General features: G+C 42.6%; 12 protein-coding genes, 1 long non-coding RNA gene, 1 pseudogene and 1 further gene across 19 annotated transcripts in view, besides 2 other annotated features; 14 read left to right on the forward strand and 1 right to left on the reverse strand.

Annotated features, from left to right (window-relative positions):
* Positions 1–24088, forward strand: part of PCDHA@ (protocadherin alpha cluster, complex locus) — a 226209-nt gene that overhangs the window by 68831 nt on the left and 133290 nt on the right.
* The window catches only part of PCDHA1 (protocadherin alpha 1), a 226208-nt gene that overhangs the window by 68827 nt on the left and 133293 nt on the right, over positions 1–24088 (forward strand). The window lies entirely within an intron of this gene.
* PCDHA2 (protocadherin alpha 2) overlaps positions 1–24088 on the forward strand; it is a 217496-nt gene that overhangs the window by 60115 nt on the left and 133293 nt on the right. The gene's annotated exons all lie outside the window — the stretch shown is intronic.
* The window catches only part of PCDHA3 (protocadherin alpha 3), a 211291-nt gene that overhangs the window by 53910 nt on the left and 133293 nt on the right, over positions 1–24088 (forward strand). The window lies entirely within an intron of this gene.
* PCDHA4 (protocadherin alpha 4) overlaps positions 1–24088 on the forward strand; it is a 205280-nt gene that overhangs the window by 47899 nt on the left and 133293 nt on the right. The gene's annotated exons all lie outside the window — the stretch shown is intronic.
* Positions 1–24088, forward strand: part of PCDHA5 (protocadherin alpha 5) — a 190735-nt gene that overhangs the window by 33354 nt on the left and 133293 nt on the right. The gene's annotated exons all lie outside the window — the stretch shown is intronic.
* Positions 1–24088, forward strand: part of PCDHA6 (protocadherin alpha 6) — a 184388-nt gene that overhangs the window by 27007 nt on the left and 133293 nt on the right. The window lies entirely within an intron of this gene.
* Positions 1–24088, forward strand: part of PCDHA7 (protocadherin alpha 7) — a 178079-nt gene that overhangs the window by 20698 nt on the left and 133293 nt on the right. The window lies entirely within an intron of this gene.
* PCDHA8 (protocadherin alpha 8) overlaps positions 1–24088 on the forward strand; it is a 171161-nt gene that overhangs the window by 13780 nt on the left and 133293 nt on the right. The window lies entirely within an intron of this gene.
* PCDHA9 (protocadherin alpha 9) overlaps positions 1–24088 on the forward strand; it is a 163966-nt gene that overhangs the window by 6585 nt on the left and 133293 nt on the right. The gene's annotated exons all lie outside the window — the stretch shown is intronic.
* Positions 931–24088, forward strand: part of PCDHA10 (protocadherin alpha 10) — a 156451-nt gene continuing 133293 nt past the window's right edge. Inside the window, exon 1 of one of the 3 annotated variants that reach the window (NM_018901.4) lies at positions 931–3470. In NM_018901.4, coding sequence (NP_061724.1) covers positions 1083–3470 — 2388 coding nt within the window. In that variant the 5' untranslated portion in view covers positions 931–1082. Of the gene's footprint in view, positions 13275–24088 lie in introns of those variants that run through there. The other 2 variants (NM_031860.3, NM_031859.3) reach the window with 2 other exon arrangements.
* On the forward strand, positions 6222–8584 carry PCDHA14 (protocadherin alpha 14 (pseudogene); annotated as a pseudogene).
* On the reverse strand, positions 13091–20925 carry LOC112267934 (uncharacterized). Its single transcript, NR_164126.1, has 2 exons — positions 20275–20925; positions 13091–16471 (listed from the first exon to the last, which is right to left on the reverse strand). It is a non-coding gene; the product is annotated as an uncharacterized LOC112267934 (long non-coding RNA).
* The window catches only part of PCDHA11 (protocadherin alpha 11), a 143391-nt gene continuing 133293 nt past the window's right edge, over positions 13991–24088 (forward strand). Inside the window, exon 1 of one of the 2 annotated variants that reach the window (NM_018902.5) lies at positions 13991–16528. In NM_018902.5, the coding sequence (NP_061725.1) occupies positions 14138–16528 (2391 nt within the window). In that variant the 5' untranslated portion in view covers positions 13991–14137. Of the gene's footprint in view, positions 16635–24088 lie in introns of those variants that run through there. The other variant, NM_031861.3, reaches the window with a different exon arrangement.
* Positions 15104–15779: an enhancer, noted in NCBI's record as "H3K27ac-H3K4me1 hESC enhancer chr5:140249655-140250330 (GRCh37/hg19 assembly coordinates)". NCBI's record gives its function as "activates a minimal SCP1, AML or CMV promoter by ChIP-STARR-seq in primed H9 embryonic stem cells {active_cell/tissue: H9 hESC(primed)}" and the evidence as "EXISTENCE:reporter gene assay evidence [ECO:0000049][PMID:30033119]".
* Positions 15780–16453: an enhancer, noted in NCBI's record as "H3K27ac-H3K4me1 hESC enhancer chr5:140250331-140251004 (GRCh37/hg19 assembly coordinates)". NCBI's record gives its function as "activates a minimal SCP1, AML or CMV promoter by ChIP-STARR-seq in primed H9 embryonic stem cells {active_cell/tissue: H9 hESC(primed)}" and the evidence as "EXISTENCE:reporter gene assay evidence [ECO:0000049][PMID:30033119]".
* Positions 20342–24088, forward strand: part of PCDHA12 (protocadherin alpha 12) — a 137040-nt gene continuing 133293 nt past the window's right edge. Inside the window, exon 1 of one of the 2 annotated variants that reach the window (NM_018903.4) lies at positions 20342–22873. In NM_018903.4, the coding sequence (NP_061726.1) occupies positions 20507–22873 (2367 nt within the window). In that variant the 5' untranslated portion in view covers positions 20342–20506. Of the gene's footprint in view, positions 22924–24088 lie in introns of those variants that run through there. The other variant, NM_031864.3, reaches the window with a different exon arrangement.

Raw genomic sequence — 24088 nt, forward strand, 5'->3', positions numbered from 1 at the left:
GAATTATAATTAAGATTCTTTTTGCCCGTGTAAGATATTATAAAATGAAACTTCTTGTATAAAGGATTTTTCTGTAATAGTACTTTTCTGTTTTCTTAAATACAGAAACCACCACTCTCAGCCTGTGCAGTAGCAATAATTAAGGCATTCTATAGGTAATAATTTTGCCTGATGAGCCAAATTTGGTATTGAGCCTCATGAAAACAAATGTGGCCAAATTGAGGCCTGAGAATAGTTTCCATTTATGAAGCACTCATTCTCCTTAAGGTACTATTGCAAGCACTTACTATATTATAATTCACTCAACCACCGTATTACTATTAGGCCAAAGTTATAAAATTGGAACATGAGGGAGGGAGAGGTTAAACGATTTTCCCAAGTCATGTGGCTAGTGAGTAGGATAATAGGAATCTAAATGGAGAAATGTCTGATGTTGAAGCTAATGATCTCTAAATTCTAGTGATGACTAGATCTTCGGAGTTATAAACACCTCACAGATAGTTGATGCTTGACATTAGTGTCTAAATAAACCTTATTAAATCTCAAAATAATGAGAAAGAGAAGTAAGTTAAGTGTCAGAACTTAAATGGAACTAAAGTTGTCATTTAATAAAATATTAGTATACTCAGTAGTATGCAAATATTAAGGGCATTTTGAAATTCGGCTATTGATAATCATGTGGTTAGGGAAGAAATCACTACTCTGAGAGTCTACATTTAAGAAAACATTGCACGTGGGATCAACATTTATTGTTATTAACTATAAAGAGACGTAATGTGAGGCTTTGAAAGTCCATAGACATAAAAATACGTAAAAAAAGAATTAACATATGAATGAAAGAAAAGTTGTGAACTCATGGAATCGTACTTACACCTAAAGCCACCGGATGTCGCTGTCGTCCACAAAATAGCTTTTTAGAACAAAGGCATCAGCCAGTTTCTCAAGGACTAGGAAGTAGCGTCATTCTGAGATCTCAGCCATTTCGATAAAAAATAGATATAAGAAATAGGACAGAAAATGTCAGATCGTATGTGCGTTCTAGACCGCTGATTCGTCGATTTGTAAAACAAGAGAAGGATAAGATGGTTTCCAGATGTAGCTGCCTGGGGGTCCAGTGTCTGCTGCTCTCGCTTCTTCTCCTCGCAGCCTGGGAGGTGGGGAGCGGCCAGCTCCACTACTCAGTCTACGAGGAGGCCAGACACGGCACCTTCGTGGGCCGCATCGCGCAGGACCTGGGGCTGGAGCTGGCGGAGCTGGTGCAGCGCCTGTTCCGGGTGGCGTCCAAAAGACACGGGGACCTTCTGGAGGTAAATCTGCAGAATGGCATTTTGTTTGTGAATTCTCGGATTGACCGCGAGGAGCTGTGCGGGCGGAGCGTGGAGTGCAGCATCCACCTGGAGGTGATCGTGGACAGGCCGCTGCAGGTTTTCCATGTGGACGTGGAAGTGAAGGACATTAACGACAACCCGCCCAGGTTCTCCGTAACAGAACAAAAGCTCTCAATACCTGAATCCAGACTGCTTGACTCTCGATTTCCACTAGAAGGCGCATCTGATGCGGATGTTGGAGAGAACGCATTGCTTACTTACAAACTCAGTCCAAATGAGTATTTTGTTCTTGATATTATAAACAAAAAAGACAAAGACAAATTCCCAGTGCTTGTTCTGCGGAAGCTGCTGGATCGTGAAGAAAATCCTCAGCTAAAGTTGTTGTTGACAGCAACTGATGGAGGCAAACCTGAATTTACCGGATCTGTTTCTCTGCTGATCCTGGTGTTAGATGCCAATGATAACGCCCCTATCTTTGACAGACCGGTTTATGAAGTTAAGATGTATGAAAATCAAGTGAACCAAACATTAGTAATACGGCTCAACGCTTCTGATTCGGATGAAGGAATAAACAAGGAAATGATGTATTCATTTAGCTCTTTGGTCCCACCCACGATAAGAAGGAAATTTTGGATAAACGAAAGGACGGGAGAAATAAAAGTAAATGATGCTATTGACTTTGAGGACAGTAACACTTATGAAATTCATGTAGATGTTACAGATAAGGGAAACCCACCTATGGTTGGTCACTGCACGGTCCTAGTGGAACTACTGGATGAAAATGATAATTCACCTGAGGTGATTGTCACTTCTCTGTCTCTCCCAGTGAAAGAAGATGCTCAAGTGGGCACCGTCATTGCCCTAATCAGCGTTTCTGACCATGATTCAGGAGCCAACGGACAGGTCACCTGCTCTCTGACGCCTCACGTTCCGTTCAAGCTGGTGTCCACCTACAAGAATTACTACTCATTGGTGCTGGACAGCGCTCTGGACCGCGAGAGGGTGTCGGCCTATGAGCTGGTGGTGACCGCGCGGGACGGGGGCTCGCCTCCGCTGTGGGCCACGGCCAGCGTGTCTGTGGAGGTGGCCGACGTGAACGACAACGCGCCTGCGTTCGCGCAGTCCGAGTACACGGTGTTCGTGAAGGAGAACAACCCGCCAGGCTGCCACATCTTCACGGTGTCTGCGTGGGACGCGGACGCGCAGGAGAACGCCCTGGTGTCCTACTCTCTGGTGGAGCGGCGGTTGGGCGAGCGCTCGCTGTCGAGCTACGTGTCGGTGCACGCGGAGAGCGGCAAGGTGTACGCGCTGCAGCCGCTGGACCACGAGGAGCTGGAGCTGCTACAGTTCCAGGTGAGCGCGCGCGATGGGGGCGTGCCGCCTCTGGGCAGCAACTTGACGCTGCAGGTGTTCGTGCTGGACGAGAACGACAACGCTCCCGCGCTGCTGGCGTCTCCCGCTGGCAGCGCGGGCGGTGCAGTCAGTGAGCTGGTGCTGCGGTCGGTGGTTGCGGGTCACGTGGTGGCTAAGGTGCGCGCAGTGGACGCTGACTCTGGATACAACGCGTGGCTGTCGTATGAATTGCAGTCGGCGGCGGTTGGTGCACGCATCCCGTTTCGCGTGGGGCTGTACACGGGCGAGATCAGTACGACGCGCGCTCTGGATGAGACTGACTCGCCACGCCAGCGCCTACTGGTGCTGGTGAAGGACCATGGCGAGCCGTCGCTGACGGCCACGGCCACTGTGCTTGTGTCGCTTGTGGAGGGCAGCCAGGCACCCAAGGCCTCGTCGCGGGCTTCAGTGGGCGTGGCGCCCGAGGTGGCCCTGGTGGATGTCAACGTGTACCTGATCATCGCCATCTGCGCGGTGTCCAGCTTGCTGGTGCTCACGCTGCTGCTGTACACTGCACTGAGGTGCTCGGCGGCGCCCACCGAGGGCGCATGTGGGCCGGTGAAGCCCACGCTGGTGTGCTCTAGCGCGGTGGGGAGCTGGTCTTACTCGCAGCAGAGGCGGCAGAGGGTGTGTTCTGGGGAGGGCCTGCCCAAGGCGGACCTCATGGCCTTCAGCCCCAGCCTTCCACCATGCCCAATGGTAGATGTGGACGGGGAAGATCAGTCTATTGGAGGGGACCACTCTAGGAAGGTGGGTTATTACGTTTTCATTTTCCTTTTGTGCTTTATGAATAATATTTTCTCTTACCGCATTTTCTCAAATATGTATCAGAATATTTCATTTTTGTCTACATTCCATTTATGCTTGAATATTTCTAGTGATACCTTTGTAATATAATTTATTCCAGGAGTTTTAAAATTTTTTTATCCTACCCAGTGTGTCAGCCTTTGATTGGTACTTAAATTTTTTTAAATAACAATTTATTCTGAATACACTAATATTTTCCAATACAAATATGTGATATAGGTTGCAGTTCTGACGATTTACTTTCATAATCACTTTTCGTTACAAATATTTGTGAGATTAGTACTTCATGTTATTTCATTTCCAATCTAAATTTTGATTTGATTGTATTTGCATTACCAAAAAATTCCACTGATCTATATCTCTTCAGTGAAAATGTGTTTTCCTCCATGTGTAGAATATGTGTAGCGTACCACAGCTTATACTGCCATAGTAGATTTCAATGTTCAGTGATTACAGCTTTTTCTCAATAGTGCAGTAAGTAGGTGGGCAGTTCATTGGTAAAAATTTCTTAATCTTAGCAATTAAGTTAAATGCTTTGAACTTTAAAAACGTTTTCCATTTTTATTTTAGTTGTAGTGGTACCTGTGTCAGTGTGTATTATTCACTTAGCAGAAGAAAATGTATGTTTCTTTTATTTACATAATTTTATCCAGTAGCTCTTCATTATCTGCTCCTTTATCAGCATTAGGCATTGCTTATGATATTCAGGTATTAGCTCTTTCACTTTAAGGAAGGAGTCATGCTTATGTTTAATAATGAAGAGAATTTGAACACTTTTTACTTTTGAGACTGAAAATACTTTAGTATGAATTAATATTAAAAGTTTGAGGAGAAAATAAAATTAATGTTTTCTACTGATCTGATATATTGTATAGTTTAATAGCTTCTCTAGTCATCTTAAACAGGGTTGGGTTAGATGATATAGACTCAGAAATGAAAGCTAACTTAGTTGCAGAGTGACAAAACTACACTATCAATTGTGTTTTCCTGAAATTGGTTGTTACCTGATACCCATGATTTCATTTTTAAAAAAAATTTATTAATTCTAGTGTTACCAAACACCAATGCCATGAATTTGTCATCTTGCCTATGGCTCTTAGCAATTACTTTTTTCTTTCCTTTCTCTTTGAGTATGGAGATTGAATTTGTTACTCAGTACGTGCTTCACAAATAGCTTCAAATAAAATTAAAATTATTGTTCAAGTTTAGGAACACCAAAAAAAAATTGTGGCAAGAATTTAAGCATGGCATTCTTTCAGTGTTAATACTCTCCATGCCCTGTCTCCAGCTCTTAGAAATTATAGATGCTAAGTTAATGCAGAGTTTAGAAGTGTATTTGTTATTTTATCAAATAGGTTTATGAAATATATACTTCCCCCTCTGATATTTTGAAAAAAAATCTTCCTTAATGTCTTATATTATAAGTAATATAAAAAACTTAGTAAAAACTCATATCAATTGTAAAAGTCTCAGGTATACAAGTGCATTAATCTCTCCATCAATACTAACTTAAGGCCAGGCATGGTGGCTCACACCTGTAATCCCAGCATTTTGAGAGGCCAAGGTGGGAGGATGGTTTGAGGCCAGGAGTTCAAGACCAACCTGGGCGACATAGGGATATCTTGTACTGTGTGTGTGTGTATATATATGTATATATGTGTATATATATATGTATATATATATGATGGGCTCTCCTTACATATATATCTATATATGTACTTATGTATATATAAGCCAGGCATGGTGGTACATGCCTTTAGTCCCTACTGTAGTGCTACTTGGGAGGGTGAGGTGGGAGGACGGCTTGAGCCTGGGAAGTTGAGGCTGCAGTGACCCATGATTGTGCCACTGCACTCCAGCCTGGATGACAAAGTGAGACCCTATTTCAAAAATTGAAAAAAGCAAAAGCAATAGTAACACCATTATCCTGCAAATATGATCTTTTTCATATTAATTCACGTGATAATACAGTTGGTGCAGTAGTACTTTATTTAGGATGTCTACATACAAGATAAAACTCTTCATGGAATTCTGATTTGTAAGACAAACCCACCTTTGAAGAGGTACTGATCATACACAAGAAGGTATAGGAAAGGAGTTGGAAGCTCACAAAGAGAAACATAAACATATGCAGGAATCAGGAACGAAGAAGATAAGTGAAATAATATGAAATCAAATGCACTTATGTTTTGAGCGACAGGATATTGTTGTTCTCCATGAAAAGTTTTTTTGGTTTTTTTGTTTTTTATTTTTTATTTTTTTGAGACGGAGTCTCGCTCTGTTGCCCAGGCTGGAGTGCAGTGGCACGATCTCGGCTCACTGCAAGCTCCGCCTCCCAGGTTCACGCTATTCTCCTGCCTCAGCCTCCGGAGTAGCTGGGACTACAGGTGCCCGCCAACACGCCAGGCTAATTTTTTGTATTTTTAGTAGAGACGAGGTTTCACCGTGTTAGCCAGGATGGTCTAGATCTCCTGACCTCGTGATCCACCGGCCTCGGCTTCCCAAAGTGCTGGCCGAGTGCCACCGCACCCGGCCGAAAGGTATTTTTTTTAACAGAAGAAAATCAGATTATTCCTAGATCAGAAAGAAGCTCCATTGTTCCTGTACTTTAAAAACTACAAACACCCATTAAGACCACTTGGAACCTCAGGAACAAGGACCAAAAGGTCTCAGAGGAACTAAGTCTTTCTAGTCATGAAATATTGTTTTACTAACCAAAAGAGAGGCATAATTTTAGCTGCTAGACAAAGTGGCCAGGAATCCCGGAGCCTACAGCACTGGCTTCTGCTCCTTGAATTTTGTGAAGCGGGAAAGGACCAGTTCCACTACACCATCCTGGAAGAGGCCAAGGACGGCACATAGCGTCTTCGCGGTCCCTATTGCGCAGGACCTGGGTCTGGAGCTTGTGGAGCTGATACCGCGCCTGTTTCAGTTGGATTCCAAAAGCCGCAGAAACCTTCTGGAGGTAAATCTGCAGAATGGCATTTTTGTGAGTTCTCTGATAGACCTCGAGGAGCTGTGTGGGAGGATCTCGGAGTGCAGCATCCACCTGGAAGTGATCGTGGACAAGCTGCTACAGGTTTTCCATGTGGAGGTGAAAGTGAAGAACAATAAAGACAACCTGCCAGTGTTCTCAGCAACACAAAAGAATCTGTTTCTGAAACGAGAGCTCTTGATTATCGTGTTTCACTAGAGGGTGTCTGTGATGCCGACGTCGGGGCCAATGCTCTGATGACTTACATACTGTGCCGCAATGATTATTTTTCCCTGGAAATACCAAGAGCAGGTAAAACCACTTGAAGGTGTATTTTAAAAATTCTTTCAGATAGGTAAGTCACTTCAGAGCTACTCTTGGTGCTCAAAGCAACTGATGGGGGCGAAGCTGAGCTGACAGGCACCAAAGCATTATATATCACAGCGCTGGATGTAAATGATGATGCCCAGTGTTTGACAAAGGAGTCTATCATGTGAAATTACTGGAAAATGCAAGAGAAGGTACACTGGTTATTAGACTTAACCCCTTGGATTTTGACGAGGGTTCAAACCGTCACATTGTTTCTTTGCAACTGATGTCTCCCCTAACATAGAAGCCCTTTTTCGCATAGATTCAGACAGTGGATAAATAAATGTAAAGATAGGTTTTGAGGAAACTAAATAATGAAAGATTCAAATACAGGCAGTTGACACAGGCAATTCCCCAATGTTTGATCACTGCACAGACTTGATAGAAGTCTTGGACATCAATGATAGTGTTCCAGAGTTAGCAGTAAGTCACTATCATTCCCTGTACAGGAGGACGCTCCACTGGGTACCGTCATAGCCCTAATCAGTGTAATTGACCCTAACTTCAGTGCCAAGGGACAGACGACCCGCACCCTGACTCCTCACGTCTCTTCAAGCTGGTGTCTACCTTCAAAAGGCGCTGCCCAGAAACTATTCGTTGGTACTCCACAGCGCCCTGGACCAAGAGAGCAAATCTATCCATTGTTGGTAATCGCTCGGAATGGGGACTCGCTTTCATTGTTGGCCACAGCCATCGGGTCCGTGGAAGTGGCCGAACAGTGAACCACAATGCCCTGGCGTTCCAGCAGCCCGAGTACATGGTGTTCGTGAAAGGTAACAACCCGCGGGGCTGCCACGACTTCACAGTGTCCGCGCGGGACCGGGACGCGCAGGAGAACGTGCTGGTGTCCTACTCGTTGATGGAACAGCGGGTGGGCGAGTGCGCGCTGTCTAGCTATGTGTGGGTGCACGCGGAGAGCGGCAAGAGGTACGCGTTGCAGCCACTGGACTACGAGGAGCTGGAGCTGCTGCAGTTCTAGGTGAGAGCGCGCGACGCGGGCATGCCGCCTCTGAGCAGCAATGTGACGCTGCCAGGTATTAGTGCTGGAACGACAACTTTGTCTGCGCTGCTGGCGCCTTGGGTGGGCTGGCGGCGCTGTGAGTGAGCTGGTGCGGTATTCAGTGGATGCAGGCCACTTGGTGGCGAAGGTGCGCACGGTGGACTCCAGCTATGACGCCTGGTTGTCGCAACAGCTGCATCTGTCAGCTGGCAGCACCCGTTCCACGTGGGGCTCTGCACGGGCGAGATCAGCACGACGAGTACCCTGGACGAGGCGAAAGCTACGCGCCACCGCCTGCTGGTGCTGGTGAAGGACCACTGCGAGCTGGCGCTGACTGCCACCGTCACCGTGGTGGCGTCGCTGGCGGAGAGCAGCCAAGCGAGGAAGGTCCCATCGCGGGCTTTGGCGGGCGTCGAGGTCCGGGAGGCAGCGCTGGTGGATGTCAACGTGTACCTGATCATCGCCATCTGCGTGGTGTCCAGCCTGTTAGTGCTCACGTTGCTGCTGTACACGACGCTGCGGTGCTTGGCGCAGCTCACCGAGAGCTCGTGCATGCCGGGCAAGCCCACGCTGGTGTACCGCAGCGTAGTGGGATCTGGTCTTACTCGCAGCAAAGGAGATTTTACTCTGGAGAGTCGCCTCCCAAGGTCAACATTACGGCTTTTAGTCCTAGTGTTCTCCCATGGTTCAGATTTTGGAGATGGACTTCAATAGGAAATTTTTGAGAATATAAGTACTGTAATCCTGGAAAGTATTTCATTCCTATTAATGTCCCTCATAGTGACATTGATAATGTTCACCAAGTTATTAATTTGATTGCTTTATTTATTTTGCTTTTGCTTTTTCTTTTGAGATGCTTTATTTAAAGTACACTGGGGCCGGGTGCGGTAGCTCATGCCTATTTGTAATCCCGGCACTTTGGGAAGCCGAGGCGGGCGGATCACTCGAGGCCAGGAGTTTGAGACCAGCCTGGCCAACATGGTGAAACTCCATCTCTACTAAAGATATAAAAAAATTAGCTGGGTGTGGTGGTGCGCACCTGTAATCCCAGCTACTCAGGAGGCTGAGGCACAAGAATTGCTTGAACCTAGGAGGCAGAGGTTGCGGTGAGCCTAGATTAGGCCACTGCACTACAGCCTGGGAGACAGGGTGAAACTCTGTCTTAAAAAAAAAAGTACATTGGAAGTCTAGCCATCTTAATCACTTTTTACTACAGTCACCATGAACATTCTTTAGGAATATTCTTCAGTTGATAAGTATAATGATAATAGTAATAATGAATTAGACTGAGTGGCTGTTTCCTGTAAATGAGAAAGTTAAATCTTACCGGAAGGATCATGATGAATAATGATCCTTATGAGAAGGTCAAATCTTCTCAATTTTGAAGCAAGTTCTTTATTCCTATTCATTTTCTTATTCTGATTTGTGTCCTCCATTCCTTATTGTTTTTATGTATTCAAAAATACCATGACAATATTTAATATCATAATTATTTGAGTTTAAAACATGTTTAAATGTTTATCTTTCTATAATCGATAAGTTTATCTCTCACAAATGGTGATGAGCAGGGTTGAGGCAGCTTCGTCCACAAACAATTTTGTTTCTTCATGATCAATATCCATCTTTTTTGAGATGTTGATTGCAGTGGGTGGAATTTTAGCCTTGCCTTTAAAGGTGATTTTACTTCTTAATTTTTGTCTTCAATCTTCTTATAATTTCATTTTAGGTCATTGTCTTCACAATCTTCAACTACTTCAGATAGCCAACAACTTTGTTCTTTTTTAAAAAGAAAACAAAACAAAACAATGTCAGCTCTACTTAATTACCTGTTGACTTAATTGCTGCTGTCCTCCAGTTTAAGTTGTTGAGCTCTTCTACTATTTTGGGAAGATTTCTTTGAGCACCGATTATACTCATTTTTCTTTCATTTTTGGTACCTGGCTGTATGAAAATATTTTAGGGTAGGAAAATTCACACTTATTTGGGCTTTAAGTATAAGAGAGTCTTCCCATACATGATGAAGGGTGATACCATTGTCTGTGTTCATTAAGCTGCATGGTCTTCAGAATGGCATTGCTGAGCTTGGCAGGGTGTCTCAGGCCTGTAATCCCAGCATTTTGGGAAGCCGAGGGAGGAGGATCGCTTGAGACCAGGAGTTTGAGACCAGCCTCGGCAACATAGTGAGACCCCCATCTCTACCAAAAAATGTCATTGTTTTTAATAACTTAAGTATAAGAACCATGGGATATTAATAAAGGCACTTCCACTTGACAATTGTGGTGTTAATTATACCTTAGAATTTAACATTGTATACTTTTGATATATTTGATGCAAAATATTTTTTGCCTTCACACCATATTAATGTGAATTGCTTTCTTTAAAGGGATCCCAGAGAACACGTATTTATAGCTGTAAGGATGTGTATCAAATTATATGTAAAATTACTTTGCTCTTTTTGGCTCTAATTACAAATGAGATGGCCTTTAATTCTGTGTAAAGAAATAGTATATTTACATATTGCAGGATAACCATGTTATAGGTAGGGTAAAGTTAATATAAATGCTGAAAAGGAATTAGTAGTGTCTACCTAGAAAAATAACTTCTGAGAAGATGATTTCTATGAAGATAAACATTAAGGAAATCTTCAGAAAAGGGAAAACCCTGTCCTACTTTATGGTGCTGGAATTCTCTTCATCCATAGCTATAGGACAAGAGCCAATATTGATCAGTAACTCATGATAATAAATCACCATTGTTTGAGCAGTTTATTAATATATTTGTTAGACATCATGAAGGGACTTAAATACATTATTTCATTTAATACTTATAACAATTTCTAAAGTACATATGACTGTTCCAATTTGAAAGATAAAATAAGAGAAGCTGAGATGTGTATCTATTTTATCCAGTGCCAGTACATGGTGGAGATATTATTCAAATGTGTATCTTTCAGGCTTCAGACTCATTCTTTTATCCACTATAATGTAGAGCTTTCTTTAGTAAGTCATTTCTCTGCTCAAACATGGTCTCGGCTAGGAAAATCAAGCACAAATTGTGTACAGGCAAATCTTTCTTTCTGTTGTGCTTAGAAGAAACTTCATGATTGTCTTCATCATTAATTTTGTACAATGTGTGATTGAGATGGCACTAAGTTTTTTTATGTTAAGTGATTTTTTTCTTGTAAGAGTTCGTGATCATCATTATCATTTGTTTTAATCAATGCCACACTGAGATAGGTATTTTGGTTATGTAATTGTTAAGTAATTAAGAGTTGCCTTATAAGAACTACGTATCTGTTGTTTGGAAGTGATATAAGTAAGAATCGTTTAACATGTAAGAAAAGTCAGAAAACTGTGGTTTCCAATATCCTTGTGGAACACCTAAACTAAATACTATATACCAAAAATGACACCCTTCTTTCTTTACTGTGAATAAAGACAGTGTTTGGGACAAGTATAGATGTTGATATTATTATTTCAGGGACCCTGAACTTGGCCAAAGGATTCAAGAAATGTTTACAATATTGCATACTTCAATAACAATTTTAAAGACATAGATTCCCATGAAAATCTTCAAATGTGTGTAGGTCTTTCAGTCTTCTTCAGTCTTATTGTTGGCTGGGAAGCTCATAACAACTGACAAATGATTTGTGACCAAATAACTGTTTTTACTTGACTAAGCCATGATAGAGCAGAATTAGCATCACGGAATAAATCCTATAATTTTGTTAATACAGTGGTTGGATAATGTAATTCTAATCTGTTGGTTTTGGAGAACCTCCTGGGGTTCTGACAACGGTGTCAAAATTTATTTATGTGTTTTCAAGAAATAATAGCACTAGGTCTGTTAGAATATCAGTGGATGACGTGCACTAGTAAGACATTAAACTATGCACTCTAATACTTATATGACTAACAGGACATACAGGCAGATTGTATGTCCTGACTGATATAGTAAAAGTCAGGCACAAAGTTCCTTAATCTTCAATTGATTTTACAAAATCAGTTAACAATAACTGTATTGAAATGACTTCTTGGTATTAGCCTATACCCAGATATTAGGCTGATCCTCAAAGATGAGTTCAAAGGGCGCATAATCTCTTCACTAGGGGCTGGTTGAGATGGTGACATCTGAAATATCACAGCCAAAATGCAAAAGATGGGTCATTGATTCATACACTATATCAAACTCTTTTATGACTTGGCGTTTGTTCAGTACTACTTTATATATTCACAAAATACTGTATTGTTGGAAATTAACACCTAAATTAACATATTGTTTTAATTCAAATATGTGATATTATCATTTTTCCAGAGTAAACCTTCTAAGGTTCATTTCCCTACCTCGCAAGACTCCACATTCCATGTAACATCTTCATCCCCAATTCCCATAATAAGGTGATTGAGGATCTGTTGTTTCCTTTTGTTCAAAATAAACCTGATGTGCTTCAAATATCATGTTGAATATACTGTCATCTGGTCTAATGTTATGTTTTGATTAGAGGCTACTATGATTGATTATTTTACAGATGCGTAATGGAATTAACGGTTATAAAAGTTGATATGTCTCCTTTAATTTTTTAATACAGAATTTTGCATTTACCTGAATTAGAGTTCTAGTGTTATGACAACATTGGGAAAAGAGTAAATATGAAAAAAGTAGAACAAAATCTCAAATTAATAGTTGAATATATATATAAAATATTAGCATACACATATGATAACTTTTTCATATGCCCTTGCAGTATTTTTAGATTGGAGATAAACCATCAAAACTATAGAACAAAATATTTAAGCTAGAGTGATATTTATTCTAAATCACTTTCTACTCTAAAATTTTGTTGCATCTTCTTTTTTTCCTCCTAAATCCTAAGGGTATATGAAAAGACAAAGAAAATTCAAGCAAGTTACAACTTCAGGCAAAGAAAACTCTCATAAGCAATTCCTGTATTTTACTTAGCATTTTCTATGAAATTCCATTTCCACAAGCACTAAGGTAATTTACCATTTAGTTGAATTGTTTGATTAATTTTCTATGTTTTAAGCACAATATCAGGTACTTACAGAAGGTATAATTAAAAATCACTTCCCTTGTTTTCCATGAACTTCTGCTCCCAAACCCAAAATTCTTTCAACAAGAAACAAACTATTTTCATGAATATAACTGAATTAGATTAAGGAAACCAATGTTGGTGACTTGGAAATACCAATATGGCACAAAGATGTTCAGGGTGATTTTATTTATTTTATAAAATGATAATAAAATTTATTTTATAGTTGAAAAGCCTATTTCTGTCATATCATTGATTCTGTTACATAAAGTGCTAAATTTTGATATCTCATATTATGCTACTATGGCTTACATTAGAAATAATATATGTCAAATAAAAACTCATCTAGATCAATAGACTTTTCCTTTGTGGATTCTTTTTTAAAACTACCAAGTTTGAGAATATGAATATATTTGTTTTTCATATTGTTCTGCAATGAATATAAAGTCACTTATAATCAGAAAGCAATTAAATGTAAATAACAGTAAAGAATGAGAACTATAGAAAATAGATATGAAAATGCAAGCCCACAGAGATGAGAATAGATCATGTGGAACATAAACACTAAAGAGCTGCTTTTATAAAACTTCAATTTTTTCTTTGAGTTCCCTAGCAGCCAAAGTAACAAGGGAGACTGAAAGTAAAACAATTCAAATTTGATAGTATTTTTATATGAGGAACAACACTTTCAGGAAATGTTTAACCCTAGTTTTTCATGAGGCCACCTTAACAACTGAATTCTCTTTCTCTCTCACTCTGTGTATAAGTATTTTAGATAAGTAAAAGAACAATGTTATAATGTTAAGTCAAACATAGACACAATAATTTAAATTTGATGTTAATCGAGAAATACAATGCCATTTCCATATATATTTAGTTTCAATATGACTTATAATCTGAATATTCCATAAATAAGCACGTTGGAAATATTTGGGGGAAGAAACCCAAAACACGTGAAATTCTGTGGTGGTAAATGCAGTGCACAGTACTCACAGTTTTAGGCGCAAGGTGTCGCTCTTTACTTGGTGGAAAGTTCATTTAAAGGTTGGTCTGAACAGTGAGGCACTCCCATACAAAGGAACTCCATCATACCGGATGCCACCGTTTAAGGATCCTTTGAAACTTCTTAAGAATTCAACGAGATTTTTAACCTGAAACTGAAGAATCTGGTACTGTAAGTGTAAAGAAGCTTATTTTGGAAGCCAATTTCGTATGCGATGTTTGGTTTTCAGAGAAGGGGATTGGGCACCCCACGACTACAGCTCTGGCTTCTCCTCCTCGAATTCTGGGAGGTGGGGAGCGGCCAGCTCCACTACTCCGTCTCGGAGGAGGCCAAACACGGCACCTTCGTGGGCCGCATCGCGCAGGACCTGGGGCTGGAGCTGGCGGAGCTGGTGCAGCGCCTGTTCCGGGTGGCGTCCAAAACACATGGGGACCTTCTGGAGGTAAATCTGCAGAATGGCATTTTGTTTGTGAATTCTCGGATCGACCGCGAGGAGCTGTGCGGGCAGAGCGCGGAGTGCAGCATCCACCTGGAGGTGATCGTGGACAGGCCGCTGCAGGTTTTCCATGTGAACGTGGAGGTGAAGGACATTAACGACAACCCGCCGGTGTTCTCGCTCAGAGAACAAAAGCTGCTGATTGCGGAATCTAAGCAATCGGACTCGCGTTTTCCACTAGAGGGAGCTTCTGATGCTGACATTGAAGAGAATGCTCTATTGACCTACAGGCTAAGTAAAAATGAGTATTTTTCTTTAGATTCACCAACAAATGGTAAGCAGATTAAAAGACTGTCACTTATTTTAAAGAAGTCTCTGGATAGAGAGAAAACTCCGGAACTTAATTTGCTGCTAACAGCTACAGACGGGGGAAAACCAGAGCTTACTGGCACCGTTCGGCTGTTAGTCCAAGTCTTGGATGTCAACGACAATGATCCAGAGTTTGATAAATCAGAATATAAGGTGAGCCTTATGGAAAATGCTGCTAAAGAAACTCTTGTGCTCAAACTAAACGCCACAGACCGAGACGAAGGAGTCAATGGAGAGGTAACATACTCCTTAATGTCAATTAAGCCCAATGGAAGACACTTATTTACACTAGATCAAAATAATGGAGAAGTGAGGGTCAATGGAACTTTAGATTATGAAGAAAACAAGTTTTATAAAATTGAAGTACAGGCTACAGATAAGGGGACTCCCCCAATGGCAGGTCACTGTACAGTCTGGGTGGAAATCTTGGACACCAACGATAACTCTCCTGAAGTCGCCGTGACTTCCTTGTCCCTCCCAGTACGAGAGGACGCTCAGCCCAGCACGGTCATTGCCCTGATCAGCGTGTCTGACCGTGACTCAGGTGTCAACGGACAGGTGACCTGCTCGCTGACGCCCCACGTTCCCTTCAAGCTGGTGTCCACCTTCAAGAATTACTACTCGTTGGTGCTGGACAGCGCCCTGGACCGCGAGAACGTGTGGGCCTATGAACTGGTGGTGACTGCGCGGGATGGGGGTTCGCCTTCTCTGTGGGCCACGGCCAGGGTATCCGTGGAGGTGGCCGACGTGAACGACAATGCGCCTGCGTTCGCACAGCCCGAGTACACCGTGTTCGTGAAGGAGAACAACCCACCAGGCTGCCACATCTTCACAGTGTCGGCGCGGGACGCGGACGCGCAGGAGAACGCGCTGGTGTCCTACTCGCTGGTGGAGCGGCGGTTGGGCGACCGCGCGCTGTCGAGCTACGTGTCGGTGCACGCGGAGAGCGGCAAGGTGTACGCGCTGCAGCCGTTGGACCACGAGGAGCTGGAGCTGCTACAGTTCCAGGTGAGCGCGCGCGATGCGGGCGTGCCGCCTCTGAGCAGCAACGTGACGCTGCAGGTGTTCGTGCTGGACGAGAACGACAACGCGCCGGCACTGCTGGCGACTCAGGCTGGCAGCGCGGGAGGCGCAGTTAACAAGCTAGTACCGCGGTCGGTGGGTGCGGGCCACGTGGTGGCGAAGGTGCGCGCAGTGGATGCGGACTCAGGCTACAACGCGTGGCTTTCATATGAATTGCAGCCGGCGGCGGGCGGCTCGCGCATCCCGTTCCGCGTGGGGCTGTACACGGGCGAGATAAGCACAACGCGTGCCCTGGACGAGGCAGACTCGCCGCGCCACCGACTTCTAGTACTGGTGAAGGATCACGGTGAGCCGGCGCTGACGGCCACGGCCACCGTGCTGGTGTCGTTGGTGGAGAGCGGACAGGCGCCAAAGGCCTCTTCCCGGACTTTGGCGGGCGCCGCGAGCCCAGAGGCTGCGCTGGTGGATGTCAACGTGTACCTGATCATCGCCATCTGCGTGGTGTCCAGCCTCCTGGTACTCACGCTGCTGCTGTATACGGCGCTGTGGTGGTCGGCAACGCCCACTGAGGGCGCGTGCGCGCCGGGGAAGCCCACGCTGGTGTGCTCCCGCGCGGTGGGGAGCTGGTCATACTCGCAGCAGAGGCGGCAGAGGGTGTGCTCTGAGGAGGGCCCACCTAAGACGGACCTCATGGCCTTCAGCCCCAGTCTTCCTCTAGGTCTGAATAAAGAGGAGGAAGGGGAAAGACAGGAGCCAGGGTCAAATCACCCCGGACAGGTGAGTTTTCTACAGATTCCACCTATCAGGAAGTGTATGTGAAATTATTTAAAATCCAGTTTTTTTTCACGGATTTTTTAAGGGAAAGTTTTATGAATAACCAGTGTTTTGAATATTGTTTTAGATAACAATGTCTGTTCATAAAATACCAAATGATACACATCTTCAGTCTTTTAATCATATGAATAATCTGGCTTCTTTAACCAATAAATGTCCTATTTCTCTTAATATTTGGTTAGCAAATCCTAAAAGAAATGAGATGCAAGAGTGACTCTTCTGTAGTCACTTGAGTAGAAATAATTACTATTTTCACTAAAGTACCCATGCCCCTTCATCTCTAAACTTCAATTATGACCATAATAACTATGGATTATTTAAATTTGCTCCTCTTTGTCTTTTAGCAGAGTTTTGCCTTGATATTTCCACATTGTTAGATCAACTGGCTTTGTTTTTCTAAAGGGAGGAGGTCTTCCTATGATGTCCAGGTTGGACTGCAGTGGCTATTTACAGGTGACCTGTAGCCTGGAACTGCTAAGCTCAAAGAATTCTCCCACTTCAGCCTCCAGAGTAGCTGGGAATGCAGTGCCACTGCACTTAGTCCATTGGCTTTCCTAACTTCAGGCTTGTATCAAAGCTAGAATACTCCATTAGTATGACATGATTTACTTTTCTTTTTTTTTTTTACAGTGTTAAACGTTCATCATAAATTCATTATATATGAAACAATCTTTACTTTTGTCTTTATTCCTGTGATAATACTTGTTTTCATATTGTTTGAAGAAAAAAGTTAAGCCTTGCATTCTTATATGCTGCTTTATGGAAATAATATGACTAAAATTCTACATGTTCTTGCCAGGCAAAGTGGTTCAGGCCTGTAATCCCAGCTATTTGGGAGGCTGAGGCAGGAGAATTGCTTGAGCCCAAGAGTTCGAGGCCTGCCTGGACAACATAGCGAGATCCTGTCTCTATAAAAAATTAAAAAATTAGCCAGACCTAGTGGTGCATGCCTGTAGTCCCAGTTTCTTGGGAGGCTGACATGAGAGGATCCCCTGAACCCAGGGGTTCAGGGCTGCAGTGACCTATCATCGTGAGACCCCCATCTGAAAAAATAATTTTTTTTGCCTGTTCTTGATTTTGTTCCATGAAAAGGCAAGAGATTTGTCAACTATTGGATACTCAAACAAAATGGCATGATTTATGATTCCAAAGGAAACTAGGTAAATAAAATTATTCAAATTATCTAAACTTGCTAAAGACATGCATATAGGGCTATATTATCTATAATATATGCTAGTTGGCATTCTTCCATAAGTTTTTCAGATTCATCTAGCAGAGAAAAAATTAAATATATTAATGTGAGTACCTACTGACAATTATCAGTTTCATTCATCTCACTTTGTAACTGCTCTATCTTGTAATGCCTTATCTCTAATGTTTTTGAAATTTTCTTTCCACGTAGTATCATCCCATCTGAAGATTTGAGCAAAGATCATTTACTTCTGAGTCATTCTTCATATTTAGTTATTCTTACTACACGTAGAGTGGTGGTATTACAGACTTTCTTGAGAATCATATCTAGCTATTTCCCCCCCGTATAGAGGCATAACATACCATTTGGCACAATATTCAAAGAGTCTATGCTGAAGCCTATTCATAGACTTTAGATCGAGAGCTTTTGTATCATAATATTCATTGGCTAAAAACATTCTTTAAGTATTAAAGAGAAGGCAACAATATAAAAATATAAAATATTTCAGACTCAAAAGTGATTAAACCATCATACCACTTATGAAACTTTATAAATATAATAAAGGTGAATATTAGATAGGGCATACATTACTCATCTCCAGATGAAATTTTTGGAATAACTGAAGATCTTTTAAAGACTTGGGAATGTTTTCAGTACAGGTTAAAATTTTGTAAATTATTATTTTATATCACATAAATAACAAATTTGCATTTTAGATAATTCAAATTACTTGGACTGATTTCTGCAAAGTTGTGTCTTTTATACTTAATGCCAAGATTGCATTCTATGGTATAAAATTATAATTTCAATTTATTTTCTAGTTTGGTTGTTTAAGTATTAAGCTAAACTTAGATGTTCCTATTGGCTTAACAATTTGTTTAGGTCAAAGAGTATGTGAGAACTACATAACACACTATTATTATTTGTTTCTTTTTGAGATAGAGTCTTGCTCTATCACCCAGGCTGGTGTGCAGTGGCGCAATCTCAGCTCACTGCAATCTCCACCTCCCATGTTCAAGCAATTCTCCTGCCTCAGCTTTCCGAGAAGCTGGGACTACAGGCATGCACCACCACTCCTGGCTAATTTTTGTATTTTTAGTAGAGATGGGTTTTCACCATGTTGGCCAGGCTGGTCTTGAACTCCTGACCTCAGGTGATCTGCCTGCCTCAGCCTCCCAAAGTGCTGGGATTACAGGTGTAAGTCACTGAGCCCAGCCTATTTTTTAAAATTAAAGTTCCTTAGCATGTATGGTACATTGACCACTTTTGAAAATGAAAAATAGGAAAGAAACTTGGTGATGATATTAGACAATTTAAATAATTAGCCTGATGACATCAAAATTCAAATATGTTTTTAATTACTTAACGTTTTATAGTTTATTTAAGTTATCTTATACTTGTAGAGCCATTCTTGGTTACTCTTTCCTGGTGTTGTAAAGGTGTCATATTTCAGTTGCCTTTATTATTATATGCAGTAGGAATGAATGGCAACAAATTATTGGTTTAAAGATTTTGACTTGAGTATTAATAGACTTACAAAATCTATGTGTACTTGTTCACAATGAGTTGTAGGATCTTATCTGTTTTTTTCTCTTAAAGCTGATCTTGAATTAATGAATAAACTCATGAAAGGTCTTTTGATGCCCCCTTGCATAACAGTCACCATTCTGATTTTCTGAAGAGAAGCATGTCCTAACTACTAAATGACCTGTAGGGGAAGATTTAGAGAAAAAGCAAAAGGTTGATATCAAGTTCACATTCTCTTGACTTTAGTCAATGAGATTAGGCTCCAAAACCCTTTAAGAGATCTTTCGCATTTTAGTGCTCCATTGTTGCTTTGGGATAGTGTGAAATTTGGAGGCTTCAACTAAACATTTTACATTAAAGTGCTTTACTTTTGCTAGAGTAAAACTTTCCAGAATCTATTCCTGAGATTTGTTTTAACATGTTATGGAAATGAGAGCAGTTATGTGAAAAGTTATCACATTCAAGCATCAAGGAACCAAACAATAACGCTCTCCATATTTATGATGAATTCTAACTTTCATCAGATTTATGAATAAGACAATTTATATAAATGAAATATTGTTTGGTATTAGACATATTTTAGTTTCTTATCCTTTGTTAAATACAAATTCCTAACTTTCTCTAAAATCTTACGATGGAGTGCTTGTGAAGGTTAAAAGTTATTGAAACAGCGGAATTGTAAGCTATATAAGGGGAGGGGTGCTGTATATTATTCTGTATATCATTTTCCATGATAAAGTGTAGGTTCTGGCCTACTGTATTTGAAAGATTTCTACTTTGAAGCAGAAAACATTTTTAAGCTACAGCGTAATAAAATTGTTGATGTTTTGTTACTAATATCATGTATATTAACTAAACCCGCATTTATAAATGATCCGTGAAAAATAACCCAAAGTCGAAACATTAGAATTAAGAGTGACCCAGGAAGTGGCTAAACCGAAAAGAACCTCAGGATCTTTCTTGTACTTACATAATCAGTCACATGATGTCGCTCTACACTCAGAAGGTGAAACAGGAAAATTTTTTTCTCCGCACCCACATTCCAATCATTCACGGAATAGGATCGACTCCATAATGACTGTGATGCTGGAAAAAATTTACTAAATATGTACTTACAGAAAAGGGTGACTGCTCATAAAATACCTCAGGCAAGCGATCCCTTAAAACTGATTGTCCCAACTCAGAGGCCCTCATTTTCTGCAATGGTGATTATCGGACCAAGAGGCCCGGGATCCCAGCGTCTGCTGCTCTCGCTTCTGCTCCTTGCAGCCTGGGAGGTGGGGAGCGGCCAGCTCCACTACTCCGTCTACGAGGAGGCCAAACACGGCACCTTCGTGGGCCGCATCGCTCAGGACCTGGGGCTGGAGCTGGCGGAGCTGGTGCCGCGCCTGTTCCGGGTGGCGTCCAAAAGACACGGGGACCTTCTGGAGGTAAATCTGCAGAATGGCATTTTGTTTGTGAATTCTCGGATCGACCGCGAGAAGCTGTGCGGGCGGAGCGCGGAGTGCAGTATCCACCTGGAGGTGATCGTGGACAGGCCGCTGCAGGTTTTCCATGTGGACGTGGAGGTGAAGGACATTAACGACAACCCGCCGGTGTTCAGAGAAAGGGAACAAAAGGTACCTGTTTCTGAATCTGCGCCTCTGGACTCTCATTTTCCTCTAGAGGGCGCTTCTGATGCGGATATCGGCGTAAACTCTCTTTTGACCTATGCGTTAAGTCTAAATGAGAATTTTGAGCTTAAAATAAAAACAAAAAAAGATAAAAGTATATTGCCTGAATTAGTTCTTCGGAAGTTATTGGACAGAGAGCAAACGCCAAAACTCAATTTATTGCTGATGGTAATCGATGGCGGTAAACCAGAACTAACAGGGTCTGTCCAGATTCAAATAACCGTCCTGGATGTGAATGACAATGGTCCGGCGTTTGATAAGCCCAGCTATAAAGTAGTGTTGTCTGAAAATGTCCAAAACGACACAAGAGTGATCCAACTAAATGCTTCCGATCCAGACGAAGGACTTAATGGAGAAATTTCCTATGGGATCAAAATGATTTTGCCAGTGAGTGAGAAATGTATGTTTTCAATAAATCCAGACACAGGTGAAATTAGAATTTATGGTGAACTGGATTTTGAAGAGAATAATGCCTATGAAATTCAGGTTAACGCCATTGATAAAGGGATTCCTTCCATGGCAGGTCACAGCATGGTCCTGGTGGAAGTTCTGGACGTGAATGACAATGTCCCTGAAGTAATGGTTACTTCACTGTCGCTCCCTGTGCAAGAGGATGCTCAGGTGGGTACCGTCATTGCCCTGATTAGCGTGTCGGATCGTGACTCTGGAGCCAATGGACAGGTCATCTGCTCACTGACACCTCATGTTCCCTTCAAGCTGGTGTCCACCTACAAGAATTACTACTCGTTGGTGCTGGACAGCGCCCTGGACCGCGAGAGCGTGTCGGCCTATGAGCTGGTGGTGACTGCGCGGGATGGGGGCTCGCCTTCGCTGTGGGCCACGGCTAGAGTGTCCGTGGAGGTGGCCGACGTGAACGACAATGCGCCTGCGTTCGCGCAGCCCGAGTACACAGTGTTCGTGAAGGAGAACAACCCGCCGGGCTGCCACATCTTCACGGTGTCGGCATGGGACGCGGACGCGCAGAAGAACGCGCTGGTGTCCTACTCGCTGGTGGAGCGGCGGGTGGGCGAGCACGCACTGTCGAGCTACGTGTCGGTGCACGCGGAGAGCGGCAAGGTGTACGCGCTGCAGCCGCTAGACCACGAGGAGCTGGAGCTGCTGCAGTTCCAGGTGAGCGCGCGCGACGCCGGCGTGCCGCCTCTGGGCAGCAACGTGACGCTGCAGGTGTTCGTGCTGGACGAGAACGACAACGCGCCGGCACTGCTGGCGACTCCGGCTGGCAGCGCAGGAGGCGCAGTTAGCGAGTTGGTACCGCGGTCGGTGGGTGCGGGCCACGTGGTGGCGAAAGTGCGCGCGGTGGACGCTGACTCCGGCTATAACGCTTGGCTGTCCTACGAGTTGCAACCGGCGGCGGTCGGCGCGCACATCCCGTTCCACGTGGGGCTGTACACTGGCGAGATCAGCACGACACGCATCCTGGATGAGGCGGACGCTCCGCGCCACCGCCTGCTGGTGCTGGTGAAGGACCACGGTGAGCCCGCGCTGACGTCCACGGCCACGGTGCTGGTGTCGCTGGTGGAGAACGGCCAGGCCCCAAAGACGTCGTCGCGGGCCTCAGTGGGCGCTGTGGATCCCGAAGCGGCTCTGGTGGATATTAACGTGTACCTCATCATCGCCATCTGTGCGGTGTCCAGCCTGCTGGTGCTCACGCTGCTGCTGTACACTGCGCTGCGTTGCTCAGCGCCGCCCACCGTGAGCCGGTGCGCGCCGGGCAAGCCCACGCTGGTGTGCTCCAGCGCCGTGGGGAGTTGGTCTTACTCGCAGCAGAGGAGGCAGAGGGTGTGCTCTGCAGAGAGCCCGCCCAAGACGGACCTCATGGCCTTCAGCCCAAGCCTTCAGCTGTCTCGAGAAGATTGTTTAAATCCTCCCAGTGAAGTAAGTTATTAATATTATTTAGATATATTTGTTTCCTTGAAGAACTTCCGTTTAGGTTATAACTACATTCTCTCATTTTTCTTTATGATTCTATCCTTTAAACTATCGAATGTCTCATCTTTCTTGGTCATTCTTACTCATTTTGAACTTTTATGTATTTGTCTAACATTAATGAAGGAAATATGTAGGTACAATGGAGGCCATGGAGCACCACACTTAATATTTTTCTTTTTCTATAATATTTTATATGACTGATGAACCTTGAAAAAAACAGTATATTAGATTAAAAAGTGGCCAGATGTTTGATAACTTAAAAATTTAATTTGTTCATAATTTCAAGATTACAGGTAAGTTGCAAGAATGGTACAAAGAGTTCCTAGATCCCATTAATGGATTCTTTAACTCTTCCTCACGTGCTTAGGCTTTTAAAATAGCCTTCTTGATCACTATTCTAATTTCAGTACAATCTAGACATTTTCACATTATATTCCAGGTATTATCACAATAATATAAATGATATGTCTGACATATGATGAATGATTTTCTTCATTGCTCACAAAATATCTTCTTTATTTCAAGTAGGAATAGATACTGTACTATTCTTATTTACATGAAATATAATAAAATCATTTCTCAATTTAAAAATATTTAACCATCTGTACGATACAGTACAGTTGGTAACCAACTGTGGCTCAAACCAGTTTCAGATGATCCCAAACTTATCATAGTATACCACTGCCCTGTGCCTATTACCAAGTGAATCTTCTAATGTGCATTTTACATATTTTAACTTTCTATTTCTACAAAAATATCCAGAGGCTTCTCTTTAACCAGGGAATAAAGTCTTACATACCCCAGCCTGGTAGTAAAGGCATTAAAATTTCCAGCCTTATATCTACTTTCTTACATATCTTTAGTTTAGGATCTGGAATATAGTATATGTTCAATCACTTTTTAAAAACATATGGGGGTCTTGCTATGTTGCACAGGCTGGACTAGAACTTCTGGGTTCAACTGATCCTCCATTTCAGCCTTTCAAGTAGCTGAGACTACAGGCAGGCTCCACCACTCCCAGCTTCAATCAATAATTTTAAATAAATATATGGTATTGAAATGTATTACCTGGACATTCCCCTCTATCTTAGAAATGAGAGTATGCCCTAGAAATCAGATAATGTTTTATTGAAGAGTGTCTTGAAAGATAGACAACATTTT

The sequence above is a fragment of the Homo sapiens genome, chromosome 5 (genome assembly GCF_000001405.40).
Source record: "Homo sapiens chromosome 5, GRCh38.p14 Primary Assembly".
Lineage (NCBI taxonomy): Eukaryota > Metazoa > Chordata > Mammalia > Primates > Hominidae > Homo > Homo sapiens.